Raw genomic sequence first — 22,372 nt, 5'->3', positions numbered from 1 at the left:
TGCATAGACAGTTAAGCGTACACACAATACTACTAGGCTAATGAAAGTGCTTCTTTTTCTTCTTCATCTTATATGAATTTCAAAGCCATCACTATCAAAGCACCATCACCCGAGAAACTGAAAACCCAACAACATGGCTTCTCTATCAAGGAATGTCTGTTTCTTGCAGTGGTCAGATTGCCTTTCAGTCTTTTTCTGCACAGTTGATAATTCAGAAGCATTCTCCTATGCAGTAATTAAAGATGAGTTTTCCAGCCCTGTTAAAAAACTCCTCAATTTAGCTATGACAGGTTATATTTTATAATGAGGTGAAAGGATATCACTGCTGGAGAGAAAAAAATCCACGGACTCTGCTACTCACAAAAGGCTGTCAAATACTATATGCTTCAGTGTAGTGGCTCGTTGTGAAAGAAATGCTTCTGGAGGGTTTCAGATTTTCCTTGGTCTATCTGTAGTCTCAGAACAAACAACTGTGAAGGAATGGTAAAGCTCTTTAAGGAGTCAAACTCTCAGTGACTGACTGGGCCGTTTTTCCCCGGAACAGAAGCAAATGCTCACAAATGACCCTGTTCACTGTCTCTCCAATACCTGTTCAAGAAAAGCCCTAATTACAGTCCAGACCATCACAATAAAGGCATTGCTGGAGGATGGAAAAATTCACTCTGGCATTCACAGCCTTTCTGTGGGCCTAAGATGTTTATTATAAACTATTTTTTGGACTGTTTTGGTAGACAGTCAAACCCCTATCACACCTTCCTCCTGTTTCCTTCTTTGAATATGTTTTGCAAAATTTTTGTGATTGTCATCCTTGCCCTGACCAAAAGGTAGCAATGACCTAACTTTATTTCCTGTTTAAATTTAGAACAGAAGGCATGCAGAGTTCATATAACATTTATTGGCTGTGTGTGGGTGTGTGCGTGTATGTACTGTTTTATACACACACACACACGCGCGCACACACACACACACCCCTATTAATTCAAGGCTGAAACTGCTGGACTGGGGCCAGTTTTCAGCTTTGCTGTGCCATCTTAAATCGATCCCTTGGTCCCCAAGGGCTTGCAGCCATTTGCCCGTTGAAAGTGGCTAACAGGTTGAAAGCTGGTTCATTTCCTGTGGTTCTTTTAAACACAGCCAGCTGTGAGAAGACGGGAATTTGCTGTCTTTCACATTGTTTTAGTAGGCGTTTCAGGAACTTCCTGAATGGGACTCAAGTTAGTTCCTTTTTCTTTTCCTTACCAAGTTGAGACATTTTTTAATGGAGATATATATGTATATTCATATATAAAATAAAGTATAATTAACAACATAATTATATATAACATATAATAATGTATAATAGTATATAAATATAGTTATATCTTCAATTATATAATCAATTATATATAATTATATTAAACTACACATTACATACATAATTCTTTTGAAATAAAAAGATCTTATGGGAAGTTCACAGCTGTAAATTTCAGAGTCAAAAGAAAAGTAGAGAGACCTGGAGTACTTAGCTTTGTGTTCAGTTCTCTGACACCAGAGACTCCAACGTATAAACAAAACCAAAGGGGAAATTAAATTTGTCATCTAGAAAAATTTATTTAAAAAATAGTCACAGTTATAGGAAATATTACAGATTATATGACACCATATAGCCTTTATTTATCCGCCTCTTCATTGCCACAGAGTACATGTTAACCTTGAGAGCACCTTAAAAAAATTCAAGAGATCTGAGTCCTTGATTTCCTATTTACTTTCAATAATAATTCAGGTTTTGTGTCAAAATACTAATAAATATTGCCAGAAAGACAAATTATTTCTGGACTTTGTTTCTTCAGAGGATGATATCACATTAAAACTTGGCAGAAAATGTGTTTGTTAAATATTAACTTCAATAGCTTGAAAGGAAAAATATCGGGAGCCAAAATGTGTTGGACAAATAACATTATATCTTAGTGTATCCGAGAGAGAATCTAGTCATAAAGTAGGATCTTTCCTGATTTATGTCCCATTGGGACAATACTCTTTCAGTATATTTTGTTTGTTTGTTGCACTGTTCTCTGCATCACTCTAATGTTTATTGCATTTTGTTGTATATTTAATCTTTATTGCTTTTTCTCTAAATTGTTAGAAGTTTAGGGTCCACAGAGTACTGTCCATCCCAATTTGTGGCAGTGCCATCTAGTGGCAGAATGATAGCGTGTTCTCCCTAGATTTAAGTGGGGAAATGGGGAAAGAGCATGCTGGGAACAGAAGCCATTTTGTGAAGCTCAGTTGTTGTCAAAGATGAAGTGGAACTAAAATTGCACGTATATAACACTTTTATCTGCCTTCTGTGTATCTTTTTAACCCCCTAAGAAAAAGAAGTTTGCCAGAAGAGGATAATAACCAAAGCCAGTTTCATTAATTTCTTTGTGAAGACTTGTTGCAGCATCTTGTATTCAATGAAAGCTAGTAATTTTCCAGAGTCTGTGTACAGTTTATCTTCTGATGTCTCATCAAGTCGATAAGACACCTGTTTTCTAGGATTTCATACCTTAATTGGCCCCAGAATCTGTTATCTCTTTCTATATTGGTTCTCTTAAGCCATCCTACATTAAAATCCCATTTTTAAAGACATTTAAGAGAGAAGATACAGGACCATATTTATTAATATATCCAAGTATAAAGGAGTAATATACACTTTATCCTAGTAATATACTATTATATATATAGTATATATGTATCTCCAATATTCTGTATCCAAGTAATGTATTGTATCCAAGTAATATAATTTATCCAAGTACAAAGTGAAGTAATGGAGAAATAATAATTCTATAGAATAGAATATGGAGAGGATTACCAAGCTTCTGGTTTGACCTTTTAACACAAACAGGGACTTTGCCTTTTAATTTTAATTAATTTTCACCTAAAGCCTATATTACATATGGAGCAGTTCACTGAGATTCCATAAAGATGATAGTTATATTAGAAAAAGAATTATTAAAGTAACTTTGCTCACACACTCACTATTAAAACAACTGAAGGAAAATATTCTTCATATTAGGTATTTCTCAAATATTGTATGCTGTATTTAATTTCACTTCCTTTTTTTGTTTGTTTGTTTTCATTGAGATTTATCTCACTAATGGGGAATTAAAATTGGTTTTGTTTCCCTAAATTTATAGGTCCTAGGTATTTGTGGCCAGTGAATTACAAGTTTTTCTCTTTTTCCATACTTGCCATTGTGACCAGGCTTCTGCCTTACAAATGTCAGAAGTAGAGTCCTGGCCTTGGAGTTCAGCCCATTGGGCTGAGTTTCTGATCCTCAACCTAGTTATTGAGCTTCAGAAGTACAGTTTCTAGAATCAAAGAAGTTGGTGCTACTTCCTAGTCGTATGACCTTGGGTAAGATAATGAACTTCTAAACGTCTGTTTTATCACCTATAAAATATACTTTTTTGTGTGTGGTCTTGGAGATTAAGTGTGTAGTACACTTCTTGGCACATGGTAAATGCTTATTAAATTTCTGGTGTTATTACGATCACATATCTCTTTCCGGTAGTGGTTGGATGCTGTTCACTTCGGCTACAGTCCCAACTGTAAATGGGATAGGAACATTGCTAGGAGATTACCACTACTAGTTTGGATCTTACATTTTGTGGAGGAAAGTTTACTTCTTCAGGGGGACAAATGATGCCCTTCAGATACTGACCATGCCTTTCTGGGGACAGTTCTATAGCTTGGTTAGTTTTCTTAGCCATTGCCAGCGCCCCTCCGTTTTCTTTCCCTTCTGTGATATTCTTCTTTTAAGATCCCAGTACGATTCAGAGATGAGTTCACCTAGATTATAGATGACAAAATTTTATCTTTCGTTTTTTCTTTTAACCTTCCTCTATCATCTGATAGTCATGGGGGATTTGAAACTAGGGGCTAGGTGACTTCTGCACATGGTTTGCTCTAATGATCTGTACCTCCTAATGCTCAAAACAGAAACTCAAATGGAAATGAGATTTTCACAAACAAATCACTTTTGAACATGCCTTTTATAACTGTACCAAGAGTTGGTATGTGATTCTCTACTCCAAACTATCTTATTTCTTTGTGTAGTGATAGTACCCCTTGCTTTTTGGCGTCTGAAGACAAGTTTTTATTGAAAATTCCTTGAGGGCAATAACCGTGGCTTATTCACCTCTCTATAGCTCTCACAGAGCCTAGCACAAAGACTCTCACATGGTAGATGCTTCATAAATATTGGTTGAAAGGAGAGACTACCTTCCTGAAACAGCCCTTCTAGAAAGACCACTTCAGGAAGTAAAGGCCTCTCTGGTGGTTAGTAGACTAGGCCCCAAATATTTTGAAGTTGACTCTTGCCGTGAGTATGATTGCAGACTTCACCTACCATCTTCCTGCCAATTTTACTAGGAATTAAAACTAGATATAAGTTGATTTTGATTTTTTGAAGACATGTTACTGTTTTTGTTGTTACAGGTGTAAGAACCTAATTCAGAAATCCAGATATCTTCAAGAAAGATTACCATAACTTTATAAATAATAGCTAACCCTAGTATTTAATATTACTCTTTCTACTCCCAGGCAATAGGCTGTATGCCTTAATCCTCATTATCACAACTCCTCTGCCTGGAAAACATCAACTCTTTCATAGATAAAATTTGTTCCAGCACTCTGCCCATCATGATCTCTTAGGAGGAAGAATTTTTTTCAAAACCGTGCAAATAGAATGATGTATAATCTCTCTTACCTAGTTATTTGTAAGAGTTCAAGATTAGTGTATCTATTTATTTTGTTTATCCATGCATTCTTTATCTTACTTAGGTATTTAATGTTAAGTGAGTGCCTCCTATATAGCAGGACATGAGAGAGGTCTTGCAGACCAGAAACATCAAATGATTGCTGCCCTTACCATGAGGAACTCACAATCCTGTAAATTAGAGAGACGTGAAAACAAAACACGTTGTGCATGCAATGTGACCTGTGTTTAGAAAACATGTAAAGAGATTTTGGGAGCACTGAGAGAAGCATATTTTGTAAGAGTTGTAAAAGACCACATAGTGCGACGGGAGTGGGTGACTTTCAGCCTAGGTCTTAAAGAGTAACCAGAAGTTCACCAGGTGAAGTAATGGAGAAATAATAATAATTCTATAGAATAGAATCTGGAGAGGATTACTAAGCTTTTGGTTTATTCTTCTAACACAAAACAGGGACATTGCTTTTTAATTTTAATTAACCAATTTTTACCTAAAGCCTGTATTAAATATGAAACAGTTCCATGAGTTTCCATAAAGATGATAGTAATATTAGAAAAAGAATTATTAGAGTAACTTTGCTCACACACTGTGCTGAATATTCAAAGTAATTCAGGTTTATTCTCCACTTGATTTAACCTGTGTACTTTGGGTGGGCTCTCTTTTGCAAAGTCAGAAAAATTGGTTGCAACAATTGCTGATCAAGAGGTCCAGCTGATACAGTGTGGCCCAAAGCCCAGGCACACAAAAACAAGTGTTCACCATAAATCACATTGTTAGCATGCACTATTGTTAGCATGCACTATTTGGTATGGACCAAAGCTTCAGGTACATGCAAGACACTCTTATTAAGTAGCATACTCCAGATTGAGCTTGGTGGCTCACTTATGTAATCCCAGCACTATTGGAGGCCAAGGTGAGCAGATCACTACCATTCAGGAGTTCGAGACCAGCCTGGCCAATATGATGAAACCCCTGTCTCCACTAAAAATGCAAAAATTAGCTGGGCGTGGTGACACACACCTGTAATCCTAGCTATTCGGGGGGCTCAAGCAGGGGAATCGCTAGAACCCAGGAGGTGGAGGTTGCAGTGAGCCGAGATTGCACTACTGCACTCTAGCCTAGACAACAGAGCGAGACTCCATCGTGAAAAAAAGAAAAAAATAGGATACTTCAAGGCTAAAAAGTCATCTCCAGGAGTTGGACCAAGGGTCAGTCTTGAAGACCTCGGAAATGTGTAGGGTTTGAGCAGCCCAGGCCTGCTGAATTAATCCTTTACTGCCCAGAGATACAGAAGGGTTTCTTGAAATCAGGGGCTTTTCCACTTAATCTCTTTTTTAAGTATGACTCAGCTTACTTTTCTCATGTTTCTTTGTTCCCAGTGCTTAGTGCTAACCTGCTTTTTATCTTATTTCAAGACACCAATAAGCACCTCTGTGTGTGGTGTTTATTGGCATCTTAAAATAGGAGAAAAAGTTGGTGGGGAGGAAACATTCTAGCACAGGGTACCAGCATCTCTAACATCTGTTTTCCCAAGGCAACACTGACTCACGCCCATTTTATTAAATTAATGCCTACATCTCAGTGGACTTCTTTGTCTGGAAAATGTTCTTATTTGTCATGTATCCTGTGTAGAAGGATCCATGTATCTAGACTGTAATTATATAATTTTAAAAATTTATTTTATAAGAGCAAACACTGAGAAGTGTAAAGCTTTATTTTATAGTACCACGTGTTGACCTATACTTTGAATTCAAGTGACTATATATGTGCTGGAGATGGCAAGGACTGGAAAGAGGAGAGGTATAGAGGTATGGGAGAAATTTTTTGTTTGTTTATTTTTTGTTTTATTGAGATGGAGTCTCGCTTGGTGCCCCAGGTTGGAGTGCAGTGGCACAATCTTGGCTCACTACGACCTCTGCCTCTTGGGTGCAAGCGATTCTCCTGCCTCAGCCTCCCGAGTAGCTGAGACTACAGGCACCCACCACAACGCCGGGGTAATTTTTGTTTTTTTAGTAGAGACAGGGTCTCACCATATTGGCCATGTGGGTCTCGAACTCCTGACCTTATGACCTTCCCGCCTCGGCCTCCCAAAGTGCTGGGATTGCAGGCGTAAGCCCCCGCGCCTGGCCGGGAGAAAAATCTTATGATTGATAACTATTTGTATAGTAGCAACATTTAAAAAAAATCTGCACTCCACAAAAGTAAAGTGCAACTTATTATATAATATACTTTAGGTGTATTCTTAGTAAACAAACACATAGCCATTATATCCTCTCTTTTAAGATCAGTATTCCATATGAATAATTTCTGTCTTCCTGAAACACATTCATTCCCATCTCTCAGAAAATGTGCAGTGGAGAGCTAAGCCCTTTCCTTCTGCCTCTAATGTGGTGGTCCTGTACTTTGAGGGAGAACCCGTAGTTAGCAAAATTGGAGAAAAAATGAAGTGCCAGCTCTTTTCATTACTGACAGAGAGGGCTTAAATTTGATGAACCTACTCCCCTGGGGCTGGAGAACAATCGTCACCTCTCTGAAGAGTGGTATGGGGTGAGGAGGCAGGCATTTCCTTCAGCGCCTCTCCTTGCACCTGGTCTCAAAAGAACATGTCCTGGACCCATCATCCACTGCTGTTCCCTGGCCATTTTCTTTGCTTATTTACCTCTGATACTTGTTTTGTGAACAGGAGATTTATGTGGGAAGAAAATTTGTATCTTGTGCCAGAGTCACTTAATACATATTACTTAATAGTGAAATAAGAGGTTCGTCTATACATAATATAAAAACAAAACAGAACCTAACCTACATCAACTTAGCTAAATTAATAGAGAAAGGTCACATAAAACAGTTTCACTTCATTTAGACCAAACCATCACATAGTTTTCTAATTGTGTGACTCTCAGGGTGTTGCTGCTTTAGGTGTAGCTCTGTATATTTATTCCACAAAGTGTTGTGTTGGAAATTCGAATCTACCATGGCCTTATTTGGCGGTGTTGCCTGTTTTAATTTTGAGCACCACTTCATGCACTACCAGTATGAGTGAAGTGTGCTTTTTTGTCTGATAATGTGCACACTCGCCTCCTAGACTCTTTTCTAACCTGTCCCCTGCATTGGTTGGTGTAGACATTTTTCTTTCTTTATAAAATCACTGATTGCCCCCAAGCCTCCTTATTCTTAGTTGACTACCACCATCCCTACTCCATCCCTACTTGTGAAATCCAGCCTGCTCCAATTGCGCCTTGCTGCCACCTCCGTTTGGACATTACTCCACCATTTTTCTACACATTCTTTGTGTCTCCATCATCTCTCTCTCACTGGGCTCTTCCTCTCAGCCCAGCCTATCAACATTCTCAGATCTCCTCAGACTCCCAAACCCCTGGCACCATCCACTCCTTTTGCCACTACGTTAACTTCTTCCTGAATTAGTGCTCACCTCACCCAGGGCAGGGGCTGCCTAGTTTGTTCTCTTAGCTCAGTTATTTGACCTTTCCAGTCTATCCATCATGCTTCTTACTGATTAATCTGTTTAATATCCTCATGTCATTTTAGTCTCAAAAACTTTTAATGGCTCCCCAGTGCTTAGTAGTAAAGTCCAAAGTTCTTATCTTTGTGTTTTCTTCGCTAAGCCTCCCTCATGACCTGGGTACCTGCCAGCCTTTCCAGCTTGATTTCTCTCTCCTGACCTTTGTATTCTCTGCATTTGGTCTGACTACATTGTCTGTTGCTCCCTATGTGTACATTGTGCTTCCTGATCTTCTTGTCTGGGTGCACACCATACCTCAGCCTTGATAGTTTTCTTTCTCTCTCTCTCCCTCCCTCCCTCCCTCCCTCCTTCCTTCCTCCCTCCCTCCCTCCCTCCCTCCTTCCTTCCTTCCTCTTTCTCTTTCTTTCTTTCTTTCTTTCTTTCTTTCTTTCTTTCTTTCTTTCTTTCTTTCTTTCTTTCTTCCTTTTTTGAGATAGGGTCTTGCTGTGTTGCTCAGTGGCACAATCTTGGCTCACTGTAGCCTCAACCTCCTGGGTTCCAGCAATCCTCCCACCTCAGCCTCCTGAGTAGCTGGGAACACAGGCGCTCGCCACTATGCCTGGTGAATTTTTGTATGGTTTTTAGAGATGGGGTTTCACCATGTTGCCCAGGCTGGTCTTGAATTCCTGAGCTCAAGCAATCTGCCTGCCTCAGCCTCTGAAAGTGCTGGGATTACACGTGTGAGCCCCCGTCCACCTGGCCCTGGATAGTTTTCTTCCTTTCAAGTTTGTCTGCTTTCCCCCAGCCCCTGCTACCTAAATTCTGTGTTAATGTCCAACTCAAATTTAATCTCTCCCAAAAGCCATCCTTTGCTGGAAATGCTCATTTCACATCAATGGCCTTTGCTTTTGCTTTTGCTTTTCCTTCCTTCCTTCCTTCTGCTTTCTCTCTCTCTCTTTCTTTCCTTTCTCTTTTTTTTTTTTTTTTTGATGGAGTCTTGCTCTGCTGCCCAGTTTGGAGTGCAGTGGTGCAATCTCAGCTCTCTGCAACCTCCACCTTCCAGGTTCAAGCAATTATCCTGCCTCAGCCTCCCAAGTAGCTGGGATTACAGGTGCCTACCACCGCACCTGGTTAATTTTTGTATTTTCAGTAGCACTGGGGTTTCACCATGTTGGCCAGGCTGGTCATGAACTCCTGACTTCAGGTGATCTGCCCACCTTGGCCTCCCAAAGTGCTGGGATTACAGGCATTAGCCACCGCGCCCAGCCTCAATGGCCTTTTCTAAGAGGCGTTGTTTGTACACCTCTTATAGTACTTGTTCACTTTGTACTATGTTAGCTTTATTTATATACCTGCTTCATCTTTTGTACTGCAGTGCTAGCTCTTTAGGGTAGTTTACATTTACTTTTTTGTCATGTGTTTCGTGCTACCTGTCTTTAGCACAATATCTGAAAAATGTGAATGATGTATTTATTGAATGAGTGAATGAACAAATCAATGAATGTCTCCAGAAGAAAGAAGTCCTGATGGAAGTATATCTCATATCCTACCTCAGTGTCTAAGTGTGAATAAATTAAAATAATTACCCTCAGCACATCAACTCTTCCAGATATTTTGTAATTGCTCTTATCATGTAAAACATATTAAGATAATTGGGCTCAATGTGTTTATGAGCTATAAGATGTATTACTGCCCCAGACTGAAATTTGTTTCCATCTAGATTAGTAACACTGCTTTCTAACGACCTCTGCATTTTGCAGCAGAAGTCATTAGGGTATTTATCGGAAATAGAAATCAGATGGAAAAATCATCACATCTTTTCCCCTTCTCTTCACCTTCACTTGAATGCAGAAAATAGTATCTTCAAAACATTTACTGTTCTATGGCTTTTAAAGAAAACTCCAAATTTAAAATACAAACACATTGTGTGCCTTTCTCATAGTCTGACCTATAAAATTGCACACTTTAAAGTTATTTTGAAACTCGGAAATAGAAATGGGAGCATCAAAATGCAACATTGTCAACACATTAAAAATTTTGTAGGTCTGAGCTTTCAGAAAGGGACTTATTATTTTCATTCCTTCTGCTGAAACTCCCATTTATATGGCATTGCCTTCCCCAAGGATCCCCAATAAGCTTCACCCATTTCCCCACCACTGAAACAGAGAGGTACCCCTAGGCTGGAGAGCAGCTCCCATTTAATAGTGCATAACAACAGAACCAGGGCTGTCAAGCTCTGACAGCTTGAATGAGGGAAGATTTCAAACAATTATGAGTGGGATTTTAAATTCCTCACCTGAAATACACTGAAATACATTGCAGAGTTTTTATCACAAAAGGGAGATACCTTGGAAACTGCCTGAAAATTTAAGAAAAATTTAACAGAAACTTGGCAGGTGCTCATTACACAACAGTTGAGAATAAGAAATGAAATGGTGCACTGAAGGGATTTAGAGAGGTAGAACATAATCATTGATGTAAGAATGAGGCCAGGACCCAGGAGATGCAATCCCTGCCCTTTGTTACAAGACCTTGGGGATTGCAAGTGTCTAAACCCTTCCTCGTTGTTTTGTGTTTTGTCCTAAGCCAAGCAGTATTATCCTTATTAGGTAAAAAACAGGTATTGTTTAGTCTGGTAAAGCCCATTCAGGACTTGACAGAAAGGGACATTACTGCCATTAATCCACCATTCTTTAAAAAATATTCATTCATCCTTAATAGGACCCTGATTCACTATCAGTGCTTGTAGATCTGTTTTGTTGATGAGGACTTTAAGTGAATAAATACAAATTGTATTGTAATCAGGTTCAAGGTGAGGTAGTTTTTGATGAGGCGTGCCCTCTCTTCTTTCCAGACAATATCAATGTGTTCTAATGACTTGCCAGCTTTACTCTTTTAGTATCTTGTAATTTCTTGAACATATTGCCTGACAATTTATTTAGACTATTTTGAATTCCAGGACTCCTAAAATACACTTTTGTGAGCAACTTTGCTACGTCCTATCTTTATAACAAATTATTTAAAAACCCATTGAAGTGAAGAATTTAACAGGTGACCTAAATGAAGTTAAGTCATTCTAACCACTTCCTTGATTTTGCTGAATTATTTTAATTTTCTTGCTTTTTTCCCCCAAGCACAAAGCAACTCTTTATTGTCCTAAACATCCAGGCTTTGACATGAGAACCTCAAACATATAATAAATATAATAACGTATAATATAGTATTTAACATATAATAGAATATAATACAAACACATTGCATGCCTTTGTCATATTCTGACCTATAACACTGCACACTTTAAAGTTATTTGAAACTTGGAAATAGAGATGGGAGCATCAAAATGCAACATTGTCAACACATTAAAAAATTTTATGTATGTGGTTGATCCGCTTGCCTTGAACTTGTAAAGAGTTGGGATTACAGGTGTGAGCCATTGCACCCAGCTGTTTACCCACTTTTTAATTGGGTTGTTTGTTTTGCTCTGGTAAATTGACGTTCCTTATAGATGCTGGGTATTAGGCCTTTGTCAGATGCATAGATTGCAAGTATTTTCTCCCATTCTCTAGGTTGTCTGTTTACTCTGTTGATAGTTTCTTTTGCTGTGCAGAAGCTCTTATGTTTAGTTAGATCCCACTTGTCAATTTTTGCTTTTGTTGTGACTGCTTTTGGTGTCTTTGTCATGAAATCTTTGCTTGTTCCTGTGTGCAGGATAGTATTGCCTAGGTTGTCTTCCAGAGTTTTTATAATTTGGGGTTTTACATAATCCATCACATAAACAGAACTAAAGACAAAAACCACATGATTTTCTCAGTAGACACAGAAAAGGCTTTTGATAAAATTCAACACCCCTTCATGTTAAAAACTCTCAACAAACTAGGTATTGAAGGAACATGGCTCAAAATAATAAGAGCCATCTGTGAGAAACCCGCAGCCAACATTATACTGAATGGGCAAAAGCTGAATGCATTTCCCTTGAAACCCAGCACAAGACAACTATGCCCTGTCTCACCACTCCTGCTCAACATAGTATTGGAAGTCCCAGCCTGAGCAATCAGGCAAGAAAAAGAAATAAAGGGCATCCAAATAGGAAGAAAGTCAAACTATCTCTGCAGATGACATGATTATATATTTAGAAAACCCTATAATCTTGGCCCCAAAACTCTTTCAGCTGATAAACAACTACAGCAAAGTTTCAGGATAAAAAATCAATGTACAAAAATCACCAGCATTCCTATACACCAATAACAGCAAGCCAAGAACCAAATCAAAAAGGCAATCCCATTCAGAATATCCACAAAAGGAATAAAATATCTAGGAATACAGCTAACCAGGGAGGTGAAAGATCTCTACAATGAGAATTACAAAATACTGCTCAAAGAAGTCAGAGAAGACACAAACACATGGAAAAACATTCCATGCTCATGAATAAGAAGAATCAATACTGTTAAAATGGCCATACTGTCCAAAGCCACTTACATATTCAGTGCTATTCTTATCAAACTACCAATGACATTCTTCACAATATTGTTAAAATGGCCATACTGCCCAAAGCAATTTACAGATTCAGTGCTATTCCTATCAAACCTGTGAAGAAATGACATTCTTCACAGAACTAGAAATAAAAGTATTTTAGAATTCATACAGAACCAAAAAAGAGCCCAAATAGCCAAGGCAATCCTAAGCAAAAAGAACAAAGCTGGAGGCATCACATTACCTGACTTCAAACTATACTGTAGGGTTACAGTAACCAAAATAGTAGGCTACTGGTGCAGAAACAGCCACATAGATTAATGCAACAGAATAGAGAGCACAGAAATAAGGCCACACACCTACGGCCACCTAATCTTTGACAAAGCTGACAAAACCAAGCAATGGGAAAAATACTCCCTATTCAGTAAATGGTGCTGGGATAATTGGCTAGCCATACACAGAAGACTGAAGCTGGAATCCTTTCTTACACCTATATAAAAATCAACTCAAGATGCATTATTTTAACTTTTTAAATGGGAAAGGGAAAGAAGAAGGCTTTGTTAAGAGCTGTATGGGCCCACAATCCTTACATCGAAAGCCTTTGAGGCCAGATGTGTTTTGAATTCACATTTTTTTTTAATTTTAGAAATTGAATATGGTACATATTTATGGTAACACTTTTAGTGACGTGGGCAAGATCTTGAATTATTACATTACTATTTCTGTGATAAAATGTATTGTTATCGTTTGAACGTGTCCCCCAAAGTTCATGTGTTGGAAACTTAACCTCTAATGCAAAAGTTTTGAGAGCTGGGAACTTGAAGAGGTGATTATGTCATGAGGTCTGTGCTCTCATGAATAGATTAATACTGTTATCACTGGCGTGCTATCCTAATAAAAGGATGAGTTAGGCCCTCTTCCTCTTGTTCTCATACTACTCTCTTGCCCTTCCACCTCTTGCCATGCCATAGGATAACAGAGCAAAAAGGCCCACAGTATATGCATGCCCTTTGACTTTGGGCTTCCCAGCCTCCAGAACTGTAAGAATTTCCGTTCTTTATAAATCACCCAGTTTGTGATATTCTGCTGTAGCAACATAACATGAACTAAGATAGGTATGCATATTAACTTCAGTTCAGTTCTGTTCTGCATCAGTGAAATACAAAAAATCCCTTTTGGCTTTCAGAGATTTTCAAGTTTTCAGATTGTAACTAAGGGATAGGTATATATATATTTCTTGTTTAAAACAGAAAATTATGGGCCAGGCATGGTGGCTCATGCCTGTAATCCCAGCACTTTGGGAGGCCCAGGTGGGTGGATCACGAGGTCAGGAGTTTGAGACTAGACTGGCTAACATGGTGAAACCCATCTCTAGTAAAAGTACAAAAATTATCCAGGCATGGTGGTGTGCACCTGTAATCCCAGCTACTTGGGAGGCTGAGGCATGAGAATCGCTTGAATCCAGGAGGTGGAGGTTCCAGAGAACTGTGATCATGCCACTGCACCCCAGCATGGGTGACAAAGTGAGACTCCATCTCAAAAATAAAAAAAACAGAAAATTATGAATGACAACAAAAAAACCTACAACATTCTTATTTATTTATTTATTTATTTATTTATTTATTTTGAGACAGAGTCTCGCTCTGTCTCCCAGGCTGGAGTGCGGTGGCATGATCTCGGCTCACGGCAAGCTCCGCCTCCTGGGTTCGTGCCATTCTCCTGCCTCAGCCTCCTGAGTAGCTGGGACTACAGGCGCCCGCCAACACGCCTGGCTAATTTTTTGTACTTTTAGTAGAGACGGGGTTTCACCGTGTTAGCCAGGATGGGCTCGATCTCCTGACCTCGTGATCTGCCCGCCTCAGCCTCCTAAAGTGTTGGGATTACAGGCGTGAGCCACCGCGCCCGGCCACATTCTGTTTTATTAATGAGTAAATCAAACCTCAGTCCGAGGTCAAACAGGTATGGAAGGATGAAACCAGAGTCCTTCCATTCTATTTTACCACATTGCCCTTCTTTATCCTAAAGACCCACTTAATTTGTTTTTTCCATTTTTGACCTCGTTTCTACTGCTTAATATGCATGGATCCAATGAAATCATAGGTTTCCGTCTATGCAGTGCGGGTCCTGATGCAATATTAAAATAAAAATGTATTTGATCTCAAATAAAATGTGAAATCCTCTACAAGGTCAGAATTCAAGTCCTAAAACCAGTTAAGTTAGAATGTGATAGGACTCCTTTTTCTTGTAAAAATATCATCTTAAAAACCTGACTCAGGTTTTTAAGGATGGGTATCAATGAGTACATGAAAATCTGGAAGATATCTCAGGCTTTGCCAAATATTTTTGGAAATATTCAAAGGGATGATAAAAGGAAAAGAATGTTGCAGGATTATTTTTGTTTGTAATTTTTGTCACACCAACTAAGATCAGAGGGAAAATGTCATTTTGAAGTTACGTGAAGAACATTTTTGACACCAGGCTAACTCTCCACATCTTTCTTACAAATAAAAAGAAACTCTTATACATATTCCTTTCACATAGCTATCACCCAACAATTTTTGAATTATGTGATTAAAGAAGACTTAATGATGAAATATGGGACATTTTGTAGCTTAAAGATGAGATTGCCCAAGCAGTGGTCACATTCATATTAAAGCTTCCAAATGCCACGTTCGTATTAATTTTTTCCTGGCCACGAAAAGATTTATTTTTATATATGAAAACTATAGACATAAGTTTATTTCTGAGTCCACTGAATCCTCTCCTCAAAGGGCAAAAATACTTCAATTTGACCACTCAGGAATGTGAAAGAAAATATCATGTCCCTAAAAATTCATGATTTTTTAAAGCATTTCCTTCCTTCCTTCCTCCCTCCCTTTTGCTCTCTCTTTTCCTTCCTTCCTTCCTTCCTTCCTTCCTTCCTTCCTTCCTCTTTTTCCTTCCTCTTTTTCCTTTTCTTTTTCTTTCTTTTATAGAATCCACAACTTTATTTTAAAATTTTATTTATTTTTATTTTCAACCCGGGGGGATGCATGGGCAACGTTGTTACAAGGGTATATTGCTTGATACTGAGGTTTGGCATACAGATGGTCCTGTCACCCAGGTGGTGAGCATAGTACCCAATAGGTTGTATTTGGCCTATGGCCACCTCCCTTCCTCCTGCATCTAGTAGTCCTCAGTGTCTCTAGTTCTTTATGTCTATGTGTATTCAATGTTTAGCTCCCTTTTATAAGTGAGAATATGCAATATTTGGTTTTATGTTCTGTTTAATTCACTTAGGATAATAACCTCCAGCTGTATCCATGTTGCTGCAAAGGATATAATTTTGTTCTTTGTCTGGCTGTATGTTATTCCATGGTGCATATGTACCACATTTTATTTATCCAATCCACTGTTGATGGGCACAAATGTTGATTTCATGTGTTTGCTATTGTGAATAGTGCTGTAATGAACATACAAGTGCATGTGACTTTATAGTAGAATGAATTATTTTCTTTTGGGTATATGTCCAGTAATGGGATTGCTGGGTTGAATGGTAGTTATATTTTAAGTTCTTTGAGAAATCTCCTATCTCCTCTATTTTAAGTTCTTCGGAAAGCAGTTGAGAAACTGACTTTTTAATGGTAGCCATTCTGCCTGTTGTGAGGTGGTATCTCACTTTGGTTTTGATTTGCTTTTCTTTGATGGTTAATTATGATAAACTTTTTTTTTTTCATTTCTTTGTTGGCCCCTTGTATGTCTTCTTTTGAGTAGTGTCTGTTCATGTCCATGGCCCATTTTCAAATTGGATTATTTGCTTTTTGCTTGTTGATTTAAGTTCCTTTACACTCTCGATATTTGACCTTTGTCAGATACACAGTTTGTGAATATTTTCCCCCATTCTGTAGGTTGTCTGTTTACTTTTTTGATAATTTCTTTTGGTGTACAGAAACTCTTTAGTTTTATTAGGTCCCACTTGTTAATTTTTGTTTTTGTTGCAATTGCTTTTGGGGACCTAGCCATAAATTATTTGCCAAAGCTGATGTGGAAGGTATTTCCTAGGCTTTCTTCTAGGATTTTTATAGTTTGAGGTATTACATTTACGTCTTTGATCCATCTTGACTTAATTTTTGTGTATGGTGATAAGTAGGGGTCCAGTTTCATTCTTCTGCATATGGGTAGCCAGCTATCCCAGCACCATTTATTGAATAGGGAGTCCTTTTCTCATTGTTCATCTTTGTCAATTTTGTCAAAGATCAGATGGTTGTAGGTGTATGGGTTTGTTTCTGGGTTGTCTATTCTGTTCTGTTGGTTTATATGTCTATTTTTGTATCTGTACCATGCTGTTTTGTTTTCTGTAGCTGTATAGTGTAGTTTGAAGTTGGGTATTTGATCCTTCCAGCTGTGTTCTTTTTGCTTAGGATTGCTCTGGCTATTCAAGATATTTTTTGGTTCCACATGAATTTTAGGATAAATTTTTCCAATTCTGTGAAACATGACATTGGTGTTTTGATAGAGATAGCATTGAGTCTATAAATTGCTTTGGGCAGTATGGCCATTTTAAGGATATTAACTCTTCCAATCCATAAGCATAGACTGTCTTTTCATTTGTTTGTGTCATCTCTGATTTCTTTCAGCTGTGGTCTGTAGTTCTCCTTGCAGAGATCTTTTACCTCTTTGATTAGATGTATTCTTAAGTACTTAATTTTTGTGTGTGTAGTTATTGTAAATGGGATTGTGTTCTTGATTTGGCTGTCAGCTAGAGAAGTCCCAGGAGACTTTTTGGCAGTCTTAAGGGTTTGCTATATATAGAATCATATTATCTGCAAAGAGCAATAGTTTGATTGCTTCTTTTCTTATTTGGATGGCCTCTATTTCTTTTTCTTGCCTTATCACTCAGGTGAGGACTTTCAGTACTATGTTGACTAGGAGTGGTAAGAGTGGGCATCCTTGTCTTGTTCTAGTTCTCCAGGGAAATAGTTCCAGTTTTTGTCCATTCAGTATGATGTTGGCTGTGGGTTTGTCATAGATGGCTCTTACTATTTTGAGGTATGTTCCTTTTATGCCTAGCCTGTTGAGGGCTTTTATTATGAAGGAATGTTGAATTTTATTGAAATCTCTCTTTGTGTCTATTGAGATGATCATATGGTTTTTGTTTTTGATTCTGTTTATGTGGTAAATTACATTTATTGATTTGCATATGTTGAACTAATCTTGCATCCCAGGAATAAAGCCTACTTGATTGTGGTGAGTTAAATTTTTGAGGTGTTGCTGGATTCAGTTTCCTAGTATTTTGTGGAGGATTTTTGAGTCTATGTTTATCAGTGATATTGGCCTGAAGTTTACTTTTTTCATTGTGTCTCTGCCAGATTTTGGTATCAAGATGGTGCTGCCTTCACAGAATGAGTTAAGAAGGAGCCCCTCTTCCTCAATTTTTTTGGAAGAGTTTTGGTAAGATTGATATCAGTTCTTTGTATGTCTGGTAGAATTTGGCTCTGAATCCTTCTGGTCCAGCTATTTTTTTGGCTGGTAGGGTTTTTTTTTTTTTTTGCATTAATGATTCAATTTTGAAACTTCTTAGTGATATGCTCATGTTTTCACTTTTTTCTGTTCAATTTTGGGAGGTTGTGTTTTTTGGGAATTTATCCACATACTCTAGATTTTCTAATTTGTTTGCATGGAGGTATTCATAATAGACTGAGGATCTTCTGTATTTCTGTGGGATCAGTTGTAGTCATCTTTTTTATTTCTGATTAAACTTATTTGACTTATTTGGATCTTCTATTTTTCTTTCTTAAAATCTAGCTAGTAGTTTATCAATCTTGTTTATTATTTTGCAGAACCAAATGCTGGTTTTATTGATCTTTTGTATGAACTTCTGCATCTCAATTTTGTTCAGTTTTTTTTTTTTTTTATTTTTTGAAAAAGTCTTGTTATGTTGCCCAGGCTGGAGTGCAATATTGTGATCATGGCTCACGCACTACAACCTCGACCTTCAAAGCTCAAGAGATCCTCCTGTCTCAGCCTCCCACGTAACTGGGACTGCTGGCATGCACCACCATACCCAGCTTTTTTTGTTTTGTTTTGAGTTTTTATAAAGATGGGGGTCTCACTTTGTTGCCCAGGCTGGTCTTGAACTCATGGGCTCGAGGAATCCACCTGCCTTGCCCTCCCCCAAATGCTGGGATTATAGTTATGAGCCACCATGCCTGGAAATTTTATTCAGTTCTCTGATTTTCATTATTTCTTTACTCCTGCTAGCTTTAGAGTTGGATCTTTCTTTCTTTCTTTCTTTCTTTCTTTCTTTCTTTCTTTCTTTCTTACTTTTTTTTGGTTTCAGTCCTCTAGGTGTGATGTTAGATTGTTAATTTGAGATCTTTCTAAACTCTTGATGAAAGCATTTAGTGCTGTGAACTTTCCTCTCAACACTGCTTTAGCTATGTCCCAAAGATTTTGGTGAGTTGTGTCTCTGTTTTCATTAATTTCGAAGAATTGTTTTATTTTTGCCTTAATTTCATTATTTCCCTCAAGAGTTATTCAGGAGCATGTTGTTTAATTTCTATGGTTTCATGTAGTTTTGAGAGATCTTCTTGGTATTGATTTATATTTTTATTGCACTGTGCTCTGAGAGTATACTTGGTATGATTTTGATTTTTTTGAATTTATTGAGACTTGCTTCTGGCTAAGCATGTGGTTAATATTAGAATATATTGCATGTATGGATGAGAAGAATGTATATTCTGTGATTGTTGGGTGGGGTGTTCTGTGGGTGTTTATTAGATCTAACTGATCAAGTGTTGAATTTAATTCCAGAATTTCTTTGTGAGTTTTCTGCCTTGATGATCAGTCTAATGCTGTCAGTGAAGTGTTGGAGAACTTGTTTTATGAATCTGAGTGTTCCAGTGTTGGGTGCATATATATTTAGGATAGTTACGTCTTCCTTTTTTTTTTTTTTTTTTTTTTAGAGGGCCTCTTGCTCTGTCTCACTAGGCTGGAGTGTGGTGGCGTGATCTTGGCTTACTGCAACCTCTGCCTCCCAGGTTCAAGTAATTCTCCTGCCTCAGCCTGCTTAAGTAGCTGGGATGACAGGCGCATGCCACCATGCCCAGCTAATTTTTTGTATTTTTAGTAGAGACAGGGTTTCACCATGTTGGCCAGGATGATCTCAATCTCTTGACCTCATGATCCGCATGCCTTGGCCTTAGGATAGTTAAGTCTTCTTATTGAATCGAACCCTTTATCATTATGTAATGGCATTCTTTGTCCTTTCTGATTGTTGTTGGCATAAAGTCTGTTTTTTCTGATATAAGAATAATGACTTCTACTTCTTTTATTCCTGTTTACAACATAGATTTTTCTCCATCCCTTTACTTTGAGCCTTTGGATGTCATTAGATGTGAGATGCATCTCTTAAAGATAACAGTCAATTCTTGTCTTTTAATCCAGCTTTCTACTATATTCTTTTTAAGGGGGGCGTTTAGACTATTTACATTCAGCGTTATACTGATACGTGAGATTTTGATACTGTCATTTTCTTGTTAACTAGTTGTTTTGTAGGCTTGATTGTGTCATTGATTTATATTGTCTGTGGTGTAAGTGCTTGAGTATGTTTTTGTAGTTGTGAGTTACAATCTTTCATTTCCATGGCACTCCCTTATGGACCTATTGTAAGGCTGGTCTTGTGGTAATAAGTTTCCTTAGTGCTTGCCTGTCTGGGAAGGATTTTATTTCTCCTTCACTTGCAAAGCTTCATTTGGTGGGCTATGAAATTCTTGCTAGGTATTTATTTTCTTTTAGAACACTGAAAATAGGCTCCCCAATCTCTTCTGATTCATAAGGTTTCTGCTCAGAGTTGTTACTAACCTGATGGGATTCCCTTTGTAGGTGACCTGACCTTTCCTCTAGCTCCTTTTAAGAATTTTTTCTTTTGCACTGACCTTGGTGAGTCTGATAATTATGTGCATTGAGGATGACTGTTTTGTATAGTATCTGATAGGGGTTCTCTGTATTTCTTGAATTTGTATGTCCACTGCTCTAGCAAGACTGGGGACATTTTCATGGACTATATCCCCAAATATGTTTTCTGAGTTGCTTATTCTCTCTTCTCTGTCAGGAATGCCAATGAGTCATAAATTTTATCTCTTTACATAATCTCATGTTTCTTGGAGGCTTCATTCATTAAAAAAATTTTTTGTCTGTATTTTTTTTTCTTTTTTTTTATTATACTTTAAGTTTTAGGGTACATGTGCACATTGTGCAGGTCTGTATTTTTGTCTGGCTGTGCTGATTCAAAAAACAGCTCTTTGAGCTCTGAGATTCTTTTCTTAGTTTGGTGTGTTCTACTTTTAATGCTTCCAACTATATTATAAAATTCTTGAAGTGAATTCTTCAATTCCAGAAGTTCACTTTCGTTCTTTCTTAAAATGGTTATTTCATCTTTCAGCTCCTGGATTATTTTATTGGATTCCTTGGATTGGATTTCAACTTTCTCCTGGATCTTGATGAGCTTCCTTGTCTTCCAGATTCTGAGTTCTGTGTCTGTCATTTCAGTTATTTCAATCTCATTGAGAACTGTTGTTGAGGGACTAGTTTGTTTGTTTGAAGGTAAAGTGACACTTTGCCTTTTTGAATTGCCAGAGTTCTTGTGCTGATTTGTTCTCATCTGAGAGGGCTGGTGTTCCTTTAACTGTGTGGCATGTTGAATATAGTCAGTTGGCTTCATTTCTGGGTGCTTTCGGAGGGCCAAGGCTCTTTACAGAATCTTTATTTGTAGTTGTATTTTTGCCTTAGGTTTCACAGGTGCTGTATACTGGCAAAATACTTTTGGTGTTATAATTTGGGCTGTGATCCAGTAAGTGGTACTTAAGATTGGTGGCTGGCACTTAGGCTCTGCCATGTGGTTCTTTGGTATTTTGGCACATCTGCAGTACTCTGTGGTGGGGTTGGGGGAGAGATAACCCTGTCACCAGGTCCTCTCCCAGACCTTTGAGGAGCCTCCATCCAATCTCTGGTGCCCACCTGAGTTTCCATCATGAGGTGTTCTGGGCCACAGAGCTCCCTCCAGCAGTGGTCGTGGCTGGCAGACCACTTCCTCAACTGGCCCAATGGAGGGAGGCACACCCACTCACCCACCAGCCCATGAGACCAGCCGTCTCACCCCTCTCATTGTTCTGTGAGTGGGGCTTCCCACTCTTGCTTGGGCACTGCCCAAGCCAGCAACAAGTGCCTAGCTAGGGGCAGCAGTGGGTGGAGTTGCCTGATCCATCATCTTGGTATTTCCTGGGGGAACACAGAGCTGTACCTGCCTGCAGAATTCAGGCAAAGGTGGGGCTGCTGTGCTAGGAGACCTGACTAGCAAGGCTAGTGGGTCTTGGAGCTGTGGGGGTGGCTAGGAGCAGTGCGGGTGGGTGAAGTCACCCAAACTGCCATCTGGGTGCTTCCTGGGGGAATACGGAGCTGTGTCCACCCTCAGAGTTCAGGCACAGGCTGGTATACTGTGCTATAAGTCCCAGCCAGTGTGTCCCACCCAGCTATGAGCAGTGGTGATGGGTGGAGTCACCTGATCTGCCATCCAGATCTTTTCTGGGATTGGGCTGCACCTACCCACAGAGTTTAGGCAGAGGTGTGTCCACTGTGCTGGAAGCCCCAGTTGTTGTGACCTGCTGGACTCTGAGCAGTGCGGAGGAGGATGGTTAGAGTCACCCAGTCCACCATCCTGATGCTT

This window comes from Homo sapiens, chromosome 15, assembly GCF_000001405.40.
Source record: "Homo sapiens chromosome 15, GRCh38.p14 Primary Assembly".
Lineage (NCBI taxonomy): Eukaryota > Metazoa > Chordata > Mammalia > Primates > Hominidae > Homo > Homo sapiens.
Note: the sequence above shows the minus strand (reverse complement) of the source record.